General features: G+C 47.2%; 1 protein-coding gene across 5 annotated transcripts in view, besides 2 other annotated features; it reads left to right on the forward strand.

Annotated features, from left to right (window-relative positions):
• The window catches only part of PLXNC1 (plexin C1), a 159,099-nt gene that overhangs the window by 36,368 nt on the left and 109,062 nt on the right, over positions 1-13,669 (forward strand). For all 5 annotated transcript variants that reach the window (NM_005761.3, XM_006719186.5, XM_047428050.1 and 2 more), the window contains exon 4: positions 1,429-1,529. In NM_005761.3, coding sequence (NP_005752.1) covers positions 1,429-1,529 — 101 coding nt within the window. The remainder of the gene's footprint in view (positions 1-1,428; positions 1,530-13,669) is intronic.
• Positions 285-786: an enhancer, noted in NCBI's record as "H3K4me1 hESC enhancer chr12:94579005-94579506 (GRCh37/hg19 assembly coordinates)". NCBI's record gives its function as "activates a minimal SCP1, AML or CMV promoter by ChIP-STARR-seq in naive and primed H9 embryonic stem cells {active_cell/tissue: H9 hESC(naive and primed)}" and the evidence as "EXISTENCE:reporter gene assay evidence [ECO:0000049][PMID:30033119]".
• Positions 1,953-2,453: an enhancer, noted in NCBI's record as "H3K4me1 hESC enhancer chr12:94580673-94581173 (GRCh37/hg19 assembly coordinates)". NCBI's record gives its function as "activates a minimal SCP1, AML or CMV promoter by ChIP-STARR-seq in naive H9 embryonic stem cells {active_cell/tissue: H9 hESC(naive)}" and the evidence as "EXISTENCE:reporter gene assay evidence [ECO:0000049][PMID:30033119]".

Raw genomic sequence — 13,669 nt, forward strand, 5'->3', positions numbered from 1 at the left:
TTATGTTTGCTGGATCATGGAGCCCTTTTCTTGCATAATAGCAGTAACCAATACTTATTGAACATTTAGTACCTGTCAGACAATAGTTCATAATAACCCCATGAAGTCGTGATCCATTTTACAGATGAGGAAACAAGGTTAGAGAGATTGCATGACACTTATTAAAATCCATCAGTGTTACAGAGGCATTTGTGAACTACAAGGAAATACCTCTATTCTGGTTAATTCCGGCTCAGGATCACGGGCTGCCAGCTGCATCTGTCAGCAGTGTTGGGGACTATGAAATGGAAGGGCGTGGTTATCCTCCATGAAGTCAACTTGGAACTGAAGGATCCAGCTCAGGATAGTCCTTGTTTTCCTCACAAAATAGAGAAAAATAGAGAGGTCCCTTCTAGAACTCCTTATTTCTCTAACCTGCTAAAGAAGTTATTTATACTATCTAGCATGTACAACTTCCTGGCATAATGAGTTCCACAAGTTCCCTTACTACCTGCTGTGTGGTTTTGCCTGCAGAAAGTGCTCTGTGTGATGCTCAGTTACTCCCTGCCTCTCACCGCCCTACTTGCAGGCTCTGACTGGCTGCCTAGATGTCTGGGTCTGCCCAGCTGGGGTGCCCTCTTTGTGGGCTGCTGTTTCCTGACAATGGCAAGAGGCAGCTCTAGGGATGGGGAAATGATTTGACTACTCCCCCTGTTTCTTTTATTTTCAACTCCACTGGAGGGGTGTGAGCAAAACAAGCCAGGAGCTGAGGTGACGGCGCTGCCCCTGGCAGGGGTGTGGGAGGGCCTCGTCCCTGGTCCTCCTCGTTTCCACATTGAGTGCCAAACTCCTGCTGACACTCCTGGGGCAGAGCCTTTGTTATTCCCTAATACTCATTTCCAAAATGCCATTGGCCACATATGGACTGTCTCTGTATGAAAACCAGGCAACCTGATTCCATGATCCGTATGGAAATCATCATTAGCAGATCGGAAACCCAACTGGGTGTCAGACTCACCTGAGAGAGAGCTCTTAAAATACAGATTCCTGGCCAGACACAGTGGTGCACGCCTGCAACCTCAGCACTTTTGGGAGGAGTGCTTTGAGCCCAGAAGTTCAAAACCAGCCTGGGCAACGTAGTGAGACCCTGTGTCTTTAAGAAAAAAATCTTTTAAATGAAAAAATACAACTTCCTAGGCTCTGCCCCCAGACTTAGCGAGAGTCTCTGCGGCAGAGGCCTGGGAATACGCACTGTCAAAAGCTCCCCAGGTGATTGTGATACAATGACTTCATGTCCTAGATCTTGAGACCCACTGCCCAGTGCCAGTATGGAGGTGTTGAGTTCAAGTTGATAAATAGGCTCTTTTTGGCCCTTCATTAGATAAGGTGTTGTAGTTTTCCTGCTGTTGCTTATAATTCCATCTGAACCATTGTCCTCTTTCCTTTTAGGTGAGGAGAATTCGTGTTGCAAACTGCAATAAACATAAATCCTGTTCGGAGTGTTTAACAGCCACAGACCCTCACTGCGGTTGGTGCCATTCGCTACAAAGGTATCTCCTGAATTCTTTCTCACCAACTCGCATTTTTGAAAAAGTGTCATGCGGCAGAACACTTGTTGCCCTACTTTAACGATCCATTCCAGTGACCTGAGGGAACTGATCTCTTCCTCGACTAAAATCTTGTTGTGCAATCCTAATGAATTCTCGAAGGTGTTTCCAGCGGCGTCCGTGCTATGCAATCACTGGACCCGGGAGCTCCCCAGTCTCGGGGCGGGAGGGGCAGGTGTGCAGCCTTCAGGAGAACGGGAGAGAGCAGGCAGGTTTGGCTTTTACTTTCTCCAGAGTTCGCCAAGACTCAAGAGAGAGGCAAAAGGGCCCCCCCTCCGAGAAGATAAAAGAATAGAGATGTCTGAAAATTTTTCAGCTGAATCCCCATCATGTATGTCATGTATTCTGTTCGCTCCGCAGAAGCCTCGTTATTGATGGCGCCGTCTCCTAATGCGCCGCGCAGCTGTGGGCCTGATGTACAATCTCAGTCTCCGGGCAGAATCTGCCCAGCCTGGTCTGGAATGACGATGCTCACGACCCATCTAGGCTCAGGGGCGACTCGGAGCGGCTTCCCCGCCATGGCAGTTTCCTAGCGTCGCTGGGCCCGGCCTGGTTGGATTCGCCGTCGCCATGGCAACCCAGTACTGGGGCTCTTGCTGGAGAAGCAAAGGAGGAGAGAGCCTTCGCTGCAGCTCAGGCAGGAAAGAGAGAGAGAGAGAGAGAAAAAAAAACCCATAACAGTGTCTGTCAGTTTGGTGCTTTCAGTTTTTAAAGGTGAAAAGGATAAGAAAGAGCAGAGCAGGTGGAGAGATGCTGAAGGCTGAACCAGGGGACAGTTTGGGTTTAGAAAAGAGCAGGAGGAAGAGAATTGGTGACTGAAGGGGGAGACAGCCAAGAGAAATGAAGGGAGAGGGGGAAATGCAATACAAGCAAGAGGTTTAGGAAACAAATCAAAAATACGGGGATGGAATTAATTAAGAGTTCACGGGGGAAGGCGCAATCCGAGCTGCAGCAAGAGGAATAATTGCCCCTGCCATTTGCTACGCTTCCTTACCGGGCTGTTTCCGTCAGAGTCACTGGCAGACAAACGAAGCAAGGGCCAGAAAAATGCTCATGAATAATTCACTGATCACGAACGGGATTTGTTTGTTGCACACTCAGTGAGCAGTCTTGCCATAATCTTTTAGATCCATTCATTTATGTAGCATCCCTGTCTGTATTTGTAGAGCTGTGTACAGGAGTCAATTCGATAATGGTGGCGATGATGGTGGTGATTAAATAGCCACATGGAGCTAGCGGCTAACGTATTAACAAGCTCAGCTCTGGAGCTTTTGGGAGATCTCCAAGCTGGTGATATGAATTTGGGAGTTGGTAGTATTTTAGATGGTACTTAGAGAAGCCTTAAGACCAGACGAAGGAGTGAGTGTTGATTGAGGAGAGAAGTTTGAGAACTGGGCCTTGAGGGGCTGTGGTGTTTAGGGGTTGGGGAGAAGGAGGGGAAACAGAACAAGAAATAAGGAGGGAGCAGTCAGAAGGGGAAGAGGAAAAACTGGAGAGGGTGGTCTCCTGGAAGCCAAGGAAAGAAAGGAGGAGGAAGTGATCCACTGGGTCAGATTCAGCTGAGAGGTCAAGCAGGAGAAGAAAAGAATGGATCCTTTGCACTTAGCAGGTGACAATGGGTGACTGCTGGGAATGCCATGGTTAGGAGTGGCGCTAAATCCACAAGAGACAATGGGAAAATAAGACCTTAAGAAGGGACAGCTTAGAGAAGCTTTACTGAGAAAGGCAGCTGAAAAAAATGAAGCAGACACTGAAAGCGAAAGTAGAGTCCAAAGAATTTTGTCTTTTTGTCCTTTTTTTTTTTTTTTTTGAGATGGACTCTGGCTTTGTCTCCCAGGCTGGGGTGCAGTGGCATGATCTTGGCTCACTGCAACCTCCACCTCCCAGGTTCAAGCCGATTCTCCTGCCGCAGCCTCCCGAGTAGCTGGGATTACCGGTACGTGCCACCATGCCCGACTAATTTTTGTATTTTTAGTAGAGATGGGGTTTCACCATGTTGGCCAGGTTGGTCTCGAACTCCTGACCTCAGGTGATCCGCCTGCCTCAGCCTCCCAAATTGCCAGGATTACAGCCGTGAGCCACCACGCCCAGCCAGTTTTGTCTTTTTAAGATGCATGAAATAACAGTGCATGTCTGCACTGTTGGGAAAATTCCAGAAGAGAAGGAGAAATGGATGATACAGGAGAGAGAAGGGTTGTGGAGTGTTCAGTCTTTCAGCAGGTGGAAGAAAATATGACTTGGTGTGCCAGTAGGGAGGCCAGCCTCAGACAGGAGCACTGGCCCCTCACCCTCAGTGGTAGGAGGGAAGGTAGGGACTCTGGGCCCAAGCATGGGGAGGTGGCAGAGGCCTGTGTGGTGTCTTCTCCTATTGCTCACATTATTTTCAGTGGCCTACGGCCATTGAGAATGAGGTGAGGGAGGAAGCACTGGAGGTTTGAGGAGAAAAGAGAGAGAAGGAGTGGACTGGAAGACTAGGAGGGAGAATAGAATAGGGAAATATCGAGCGGTTGCCAGGAAGCATTAGGGCCCACTTGAGGTTGATGGTCCTGTGTTTGAAGTGAGAGCTGTAAGCATGGTTTTGTCTTTCTCAAGCTGCGTTCAGCTTTGGTGGTATAGCTGTAGACTCAGAAAAAGTTAGCTTTAGCCAGTTTGGGGGCTTTGCCGGAAAATACATCAAGAAAGGAGAGAGTGGCCAGGGAGCTGAGGGAGCATGTAAGGAATGGATGATGATATCGATATGGATGTTGATTCATATAATGATGGCACTTGGGCTCTAAGGAGGGAAATAAGGACCTGATAGGGGTAGGGATGTGAAAAGGTGGCAGGGTCTGTGTTGGAAGTTCAAGTTGAGTTTAAAGATTGTTAGGGGCAGGCGCGGTGACTCACACCTATATTCCCAGCTTTTTGGGAGGCCAAAGTGGGTGGATCACTTGAGCCCAAGAGTTTGAGACCAGCCTGGGCAACATGGCAAAGACCCCATCTCTACAAAAAATATGAACATTAGCTGAGTGTGGTGGTATGTGCTTCTGGTCCCAGCTACTCGGGAGGTTAAGGTGGGAGGCTTGCTTGAGTCCCAGAGGTAGAAGTTGCAGTGAGCTGAGATCACACCTCTACTTTCCAGCTTGGATGACAAAGTGAGACCCTGTCTCAAAAAAAAAAAAAATTGTTGGAACTAGAGAATTGGAAAGGGGAATTATTGGACTGTGGGGGCTTGATATTGAGGTCATGGAGGGATGGAGTTATTGGCAATGACAGGGTCTGCCATATGATTGTCAAGATCATTGGCAGAGAGGTGTCAAGGAACTGAGGTGGTTACCAGAGTACTAAATGGCTCCATCATCTGTGTGGAAATCGCAGTCACCAAGAGAGTGAGGAGCTACATATTCAAGGAACGAAGGGAAGTGGCCAGGGCTGGGGTGGTCTGTAATGATCACAATGAGGAGGGACCTGGGGTGGTTTGAGCTGACAGCATGGGCTTTGAAGCTGGGGAGGAAGTGTTGGAAAGAGAGAAGAAGGATCTTCCAGAAGAGGCTGCAAGACACAAATAGGACAGCTAGATGAGGGAGAGGAAGCAGCCAGGCCTTGAGAGGGGCCTGGGGAAGCTGTGGCCTCGAAGGAGAGCTGGTTTCAGTAATATTGAGAAGGGGAAAGGAACAATCAGAGAAGAGGTTGAAGACATGGGGGCTTCTGTTGATAACTGGCTGTGAGTTATAGTCTTTTGTTTGTTTTGAGACAGGGTCTCATCCTGTCACCCAGGCTGGAGTGCAGTGGTGCAATTACAGCTCACTAAAGCCTAGACCTCCCCAGGCTCAGGTGATCCTTCCACTGCAGTCTCCCAAGTAGTGGGGACCACAGGTGTGCACCACCATGCCCAGGTTTTTTTTGTATTTTGTAGAGACGGGGTTTCACCATGTTGCCCAGGCTGGTCTTGAACTCCTGGGCTCAAGCAATCCTCCTTCCTGGGCCTCCCAAAGTGTTAGAATTAGAGACGTGGGCCACCACACCTGGCCAAAAGCCTGCTTCTGCTCTTGCTCCCTCACCCCTATCCCAGTGCGCTCCAAGAAGAGTGATTCATTTAAAATCCAAATCAGATTATGTCACTCCCCAGCTTAATACCCTCCCCTGGCTTTCCATCTTAGAACTCAGTCTGACTCCCTTGCTGCCAGGGCCTGCATACCAGGCTTTCCGTGATCTGGCCTTTCACCACTTCTCTGACCTCTCATGCCATTCTCTCCTTTGTTTACTTAACCCCAGACATCCTGATTTAAGACTATGCTAAGCATGTTCCTGCCCCAGGGCCTTTGCATGTGCTGTTTCCTCAGTCTAGTACATTCTTCCCCACATCTTTCTATGGCAGACTCTTTCTTGACGGTCTGGTCCTAGAGCACACATCTCTCTGCACCTGCCTACCCAGTCTTCAGTAGCCTCCCCTTACTCACAGTGACATTACTGTTTTATTTTCTTCATGGCCCATCACTATTAGGAATGACCTTACTTCTCTACCTCTCTTTATTGAAATGTGCTCAGAAAAACATAAGTTAAATGAATGAGATAGGCTGAGTGATTGGTCGACTCTGCCAATAGCAGGTTAAGACTTGTGCCTTAAATCTTATAAGACATTCTGAAGTCATGGAGCGATGGCCCTTCACAGCCATGTCAGAAACCACTTGGTTTCAGACAGCCTGGGTTCTGGCCTACAATGAAATGAAACTAAGTCTCATATCTGTGACTCATATGAAGCTCCCAGTACCATTCAAAATTAGGAATTCTAAAGGGGGATGTTTTCTTATAATGGTAGAGCATCCCACTGTGTTTATTTTAAATGTCATGGATTTATTTAGAAAAATAATTTATTTTCTCTGTTGAGAAGGTTGAGTTTTCTTGCATACATGTCTAGAAAGTGGAATGGTGGGGAGAGGCAAGAAAACTATCTTCACTTCCTTTTGATCAGATGTTAAGAATAGGCATCCAGACTGGGCATGGTGGCTCACGCCTGTAATCCCAGCACTTTGGGAGGCTGAGGTAGGTGGATCACCTGAGATCAAGAGTTCAACACCAGCCTGGCCAACATGGTGAAACCCTGTCTCTACTAAAAATACAAAAATTAGCCAGGTGTGGTGGTGCATGCCTGTAATCCCAGCAACACGGGAGGCTGAGGCAGTAGAATCACTTGAACCCAGGAGACGGAGGTTGCAGTGAGCCAAGATCCAGCCTGGGTGACAGAGTGAAACTCCATCTCAAAAAAAAAAAGGGAATAGGCATCTAGTATAAGTAGATAAAAAGCAATTAGATAAACAATGAGCTCTAAAAAGTCTAGTATTTTATTGTTGGAACCTCAGATCCAACCTGTGCTGAATTTGTCTGTGTGGGTGGAAAGTGAATTTTTGCAGGCTGAATATCTTGGGTTTGGAAGCAGTTTCTCAGTTTCTCCCATATTGCAAAGCATAGCACATGTGTTCAGTTATGGATTTCCACAAAACTGGCAATCCCGAACCAATGAATGGGTGAGGTTCCAAAAGTTCATTTGCAAGTTTGTTTGGCATGCAGAATGCATTTTCCCATAGAAACAATGTCATAAATTAAGGATTGATTCCCAAGCCAGCCCATAAAATCCAAAATTATTTAATTTCAACAAATATTTATTGAACACCTAGTGAGAGCCTAATCTGGGGCATGAGATAGCTAGGTAGTATTGAGAGAAATCGGATGCCATTCTTGGCTTTAAGGAACTCGCATGCTAGCTGGGAAGGCAGACTTATCAATGGCCAACATTCATTCATTCAATCCTACATCCAATCACAAATATTTTTTAAGCACAACAATGTGCTAAGTCCTATGCTCAGTGCTCAGGATACAGTTCTTTCTTGTCTCTATAGAGCTTGCAATCTAATGGGGGATATAATGTGTATCAGTTAGGTTTCTGATCTAGTAATGCTGTATAACAAACAACCCCCAAATCCTTAGTGGTCTAAAAGAGCAAACATTTATTTACATTTGTTTTTCATGCTCATGGGTCAGCCTGTCAGCTATGGGAAGAAGGGTGGGGTCAATGTCAAGCTGAAGGTTGAGTTCAGGTCTGTTTCCCATGTTTCTCATTCTGTACATGCTCTTCTTAAGGCACATAGAAGTAGCATGAGAGACCAAGCTAAACTAGACAACATGTTCTAAGCCCTGGCTGACATCATGCTGACTAATATTCCATTGATAAAGCAAGCTGCATGGCCAAGCCCAATATCCATGGAGTAGGGAAATATATTCCACCTACTCTAGTGGAAGATTCTGCAAAGTGACCTGGCAAAAATGTAGTGTGGGTGTGTCATTCTAGTACAGGATGGATTGAAGAATTGGGAGCAATAATCCACTCTTATCAATAAGTAAAGGAGATAAATGAATAGAGTGTCATAAGAGCTAGCATGGGGGAAGTTTAGGGTTTCATGGGGGCACATAAAATTATCTAACCCAAACTTAACAGGTCAAGGAAGGCTTCCTGGAGGAAGGGATATCTAATCTGAACCTGAAGGGTAGGGGGATATCAGCTAGGTAAAGATGAGGCAGGGGAAGCTGGTGTAGGGACCAGGCTGTACAAAGGCCAGGAGAGCTTGGCCTGAAGCTCAGTGTGGACGAGCTTCACATTAAAGAATTTGAATTTTGTTGGAAGGACCTTGGGGAGCCATTGCAGGGCTTTAATTAAAAGTGCGACCAGATCAGGTGAGTGTTTTAGAACGAGAACTCTGGGGTGCAAGGTGGACCGGAGGGGACTGAGAAGAGCTGGCAGATCAGTTAGCAGGTGGCTGTAAACCAGTAAGAGACCAGGGACTGAATTAGAATGATAGTAGTGGTGAGGGAAGGAAGTGGGTGGATTAGAGAGCTATTTAGAAGATAGAATTGACAGGGCTTAGTGATTAATTAGATTCCCCTTTGAGTCTGACACACTAAAAATAGGGCCATAAAATGAAAAATAAAATCTCAAGGTGGCCACTGTTTTTCTGGAAGATGTATCCTTTCTCCTTTGATCTCAGTCTTCATGAAGAAAACAAACAAGTGATACCCACATGTACACTTGATTCTTCCTGTGTCCCAGGCACTGGGCTAGGCACCAGGTTAGACCCCAAAAGATGGGCACCTGAGTCAAATGTGGGAGGGCTTCTGAGAGACACCAGCGCTGAGTCTCAGAGTGTGCAGTGGGGTGAGTTATTGCATTGAAGCTGGTGTTGAGATTACAGCGGAAGGAGTGCAGGCATCTGGCTGGGGTGACCAGATGGACAGAGGTGTCGGTTACTGAGTAGGGAGTGTAGAAGGAGTGGCCTGTTTGGGCTGCATGGGAAACGCGGGGGGTGGACTTCCACACTGGCAACATGGGCAGGACAGCCTATGAGGACAGAGGAAAGGTCCTGTGTTTGTCTGTTTTTGCACTGCTATAATGAAATACCTGAGACTGGGTAATTTATAAAGAAAAGAGGTTAGTTGGCTCATGGTTCTGCTGGCTGTACAGGAAGCACGATACTGGCATCTGCTCAGCTTCTGGGGAGGCCTCAGGAAACTTACAATCATGGCAGAAGGTGAAGGGAAAGCAGGGCACGTCTTACATGGCTGGAACAGGAGGAAAGGGGGGTTGGGGAGGTGCCACACACTTTTAAACAACCAGATCTCAAGAGAACTCACCATCACGAAAACAGCACTGAGGAAATGGTGCTAAACCATTCATGAAGGACCCACCCCCATGATCCAATCACCTTTCACCAGGCCCCACCTCCAACACTGAGGATTACAATTGAACATGAGATTTGGGTGGAGACACAGATCCAAACGATATCAGGTCCCAAATGCATTTTGCTTTGGATAGAATCTGGGCTTTGTGTGACCTGCCAGTTTCTTATCTCTGCCACTTCTCCTCTTCTATAAAGTGGCATTTATAATTGGCCAGGTATTGCAAAAAAGTGCTGGGATTACAGGCACATAATCCTGGGATTACAGGCACTTTGGGAGGCCGAGTTGGGTGAATCACTTGAGCCCAGGAGTTCAAGACCAGCCTGGGCAACATGGTGAAACCCTGTCTCTACAAAAAATACAAAAATTAGCTGGGTGTGGTGGCGCATGCCTGTGGTCCCAGCTACTCTGGAGGCTGAGGTGGAAGGATCATTTGAACATAGGAGGTTGAGGCTTCAGTGAGCCGTGATTGTACCACTGCACTCCAGCCTTGGTGACAGAACGAGACCTTGTCTCAATAATAATAGTAATAGTACCTGCCTCAGAGGTTTGCTGAGAGAATTAAATTCCATAACGTACATCATTGTAGGCCCAGTGCCTGGCTCCTGGTAGGCAACGAAGTTGTGTCAACTGTCATTTGGTGGAAGCCCAAGGAGGCAGTCATTACTTGTCCCTGAGGTTGGGAAAGGCTTCAACGAGGAGGTGGCCTTAAAATTGGCCTTGAAGCCTGGGTAGACCTTCACCAGGGGAAGAGTGGTCGGGAGGCATTTCAGGCAGAAGAATCAGCGCAGTGAGAGGTCTGTGGAGAGACTGGCAGATGGAGTTCTATGCACTGGCTGTAGAAGGAAGGAAGTGGGTGGAGATGCTGGGTGGGCTCTCAGGGTGGACCTTACTAGCGGGTGCTGGGAACTCATGACAGGGTTTTAAGCAGAGGCCTTCCAGCGCCATATTTGTGTTTTAAAAAGATTATCCCACTGGCAGTGTGGAAGATGAACCACGTTAATCCAAGTCTCTCCCGGCCTCCCACCCCACCCTTCCTGGGTCACTTTCCTCTGGTGTGTTTTGTAAAGAGAGAGTTTATGTCACATCTCGTCCTGAGTCAGTTACTTGGTGGCTATTCTCCGAATTCATGTACCTCCCCACTGGGAGAGGTAGTACGTCTCCCAGTGCATCCATGGGGCCCCACTTGCTCTGGTTTTAGTGCCATGATGGAATCAGGGCTGGGTCCTCTTCAGAAAATGGGCCCTACAGGAAAGAGCACACTTGCATTCACCCTCCCAACACTTCGTGCTCCACCCTGCACTGGGTACACACAGGTGGAGGCAAGGCCCCCAGGCATGCTGCTTATAAGGTATCTGTATGCGTCCTTCAATTATCTGTACAAATTTCACATTCACTCCATATTTTTCTACATGTTTCTTCCATGTTGACAGTTGGAAGACCTTCAAGCAGCCCCTGGTGGCTGTTTTTAGGTCTTCAGCTGCAGTTAGGCTGTTCCACGCATGAGATCGTGAAAGAGATCATTTCTCGCTCGGTCTAACAGCAGGGCCCTGTGGTCAGTCTTCCTATCAGACTTTCTGAAGGGTTGGGAATAACAGAAGGGTATTTTTAACACATGAGAGAAAACTGCCATCTGAATGCTAAACATATTTGTCCCCAACACCCCAGAGTAACAAATGAAAAGAATTACATGAGTTGCTTGTGGACACGTCCCAGCTCCTTTTTTTATCTTGCTCTCCTGTCTTGAGGGTTCTTCTCCAAGTGACACTCCTTCCTCAAGCCCCCCAGGCCTATCATTAACCTGCTGGGATCCTTCCCACCAGGACTGTGATTGCCCTGAAACTTGACCAGTATAATCCATGGTGCACAGTAATTTATGGCCATATTCTTCAGTAGCCTGAGTTAGTCTGTTCTGTCATCATGAGAGGTGAGCTACATACAGCAGAGAGGGCCCGATAGGGCTTAGATGTTTTGTCTCCTCCAAATCTCGTGTTGAAATGTGACCTCCAGTACTGGAGGTGGGCCTGCTGGGAGGGGTCGGGTCATGGGAACGGATCCCTCATGAATGGCTTGGTGCTGTCCTTGGCAATAGTGAGCGAGTTCTCACTCTGAGTTCACAGGAGATCTGGTTGTTTAAGAGAGTGTGGCACCTGCCCCCTCACAGTCTTGCTCCCACCCTAGCCGTGTGACACACCTGTTCTCCCTTCGCTTCCAGCATGATTGGAAGCTTCCTGAGCCCCTCACCAGGAGCAGACACTACCCATGCTTCCTGTACAGCCTGTAAAATCATGAGCCAATTAAACCCCTTTTCTTTATAAATTATCCAGTCTCAGGTATTTCTTCATAGCTATGCAAAAAATGGACTAACACAGGGTCACAGAAGGCTTTGCAGTAGAAAAGTCCAGATGGATGTGACTGTTCCTCATTCAGAAGGCGGCTGCAGTGCCCCTTCCACAGGGAGCCTGCCTCGAGTCCAGGCCTGGCCAGGAGACAGTGTGCATGGGTAGAGAAGAATATGCTTATCATACATTAGACACTACCTTGCACGTTCTGTGCCATGTTCCATTTAGTCCTCCTGGTACCCCATGAAGAAAGCACTATTACAATCCCCACTTCTTAGAGAACAGCCTTAGCTTATGTATAGTTTCCCACAGCTGCAGAAACAAATTCCCACAAACTTGGCAGCTTAAAACAACATGCACTTGTGATCTTACAGTTCTGGAGGTCACAAGCCTGCAGTGGGTTTCACTGGGCTGAAACCAAAGCATTGACAGGGCTGTGCTCCTTCTGGAGGCCCTTCTTTGCCTTTTCCAGCTTTTGGAAGCAGCCAGCATTCCTTGGCTCATGGTCCCTTCCTGCATCTTCAAAACCAACAGTGTGGCATCATCAGATTACATTGGGCCCACCCAGATAATCCAAAATAATCTGCCCATTTTAAGATCCTCCACTTACTCACATCTGCAGAGTCCCCTTTGCCATGTCCTATGGTTTGAATGTATCCCCCAAAGTTCATGTATTGGACACTTAATCCCCAGTGCAACAGTTTTGAGAGGTGGAACCTTTCGGACGTGATTAGGTCATGAGGACTCTGTCCTCATGAATGGATTAATGACATTATCACAGGAGTGGGTTAGTTATTGCAGGAGTGGGTTACTTATCACAGGAGTAGGTTCCTGATAAAATGATACATTAGGCCCCTTTCTCTCTCTCTCTCTCTCTCTCTGTCTCTCTCTCCCTCGTGCTTTCTTGCCCTTCCACCATGGAATGATGCAGCAAGAAGGCCCTCACCAGATGCAGGCCCCTTGACCCTGGACTGCCCAGTCTCTAGAACTGTAAAAAATAAATTTATTTTCTTTATAAATTTCCCAGTTAGTAGTATTCTGTAATAGCAACACAAAATGGACTGAGACACCATGTAAGGTGACACAGTCACACATTCCAGGGATTAGGACCTGGACATCTTTGGGGGCCATTATTCTGCCTACTACTGGTTGTACAAGTAATGGATTCAACTCTGGGCTTAGCTCTAGCTCCTAAGCCATTAGAGCAAAACAAAGAGACACAGGCAAGGGACATTATCCCTCATGGCAGTGGGTGGAGAGGGGAGAGCCTGGAGCAAATGGCCCTAATGGAGCATTTGTGATAACTGCTATGTATAAGAAAGACACGGCACTCAGGGCCCACCTGAGTCAGAGAAAACCCTCCATCTTGAAAGCTTAGGCAACCATGCATTCATTTAACAGGTATTTACTGAGTACCTGATATGTGTCAGTCACTGTCCTAAGCACTGGGATTCTAAGCACTAGCAGTGAGTAACACAGGTCAAAATCCCTCCACACGTATGTTCATTGCAGCACTATTCACATTAGCAAAGACATGGAATCAACCCAAATGCCCATCCATGATAGACTGGATAAAGAAAATGTGGTACATATGTGCCATGGAATGAAAAGGAATGAGCAGCCATGAAAAGGAATGAGATCATGTCCTTTTGGGGATGTGGATGGAGCTGGAAGCCATTATCCTCAGCAAACTAACGCAGGAACAGAAAACCAAATACCGCATGTTCTCACTTATAGGTGGGAGGTGAACAATGAGAACACATGGACACAGGGAGGGGACAACACACATAGGCTCAGCTAATGCAAGCTGAGCTTAATACCTAGTTGATGAGTTGATAGGTGCAGCAAACCACCCTGGCACACATTTGCCTATGTAACAAACCTACACATCCTGCACATGTACCCTGGAACTTAAAATGAAAATAAAAATTGAAAAAAAAATCCCTGCCCTCATGGAGTTCCCTCTAGTGAGGTGTTTTAGTTTCCCAAGGCTGCCATAACAAATTACTACCAACACAAATTTATCGTCTCCCA

Source organism: Homo sapiens, chromosome 12 (genome assembly GCF_000001405.40).
Source record: "Homo sapiens chromosome 12, GRCh38.p14 Primary Assembly".
Classification (NCBI taxonomy): domain Eukaryota; kingdom Metazoa; phylum Chordata; class Mammalia; order Primates; family Hominidae; genus Homo; species Homo sapiens.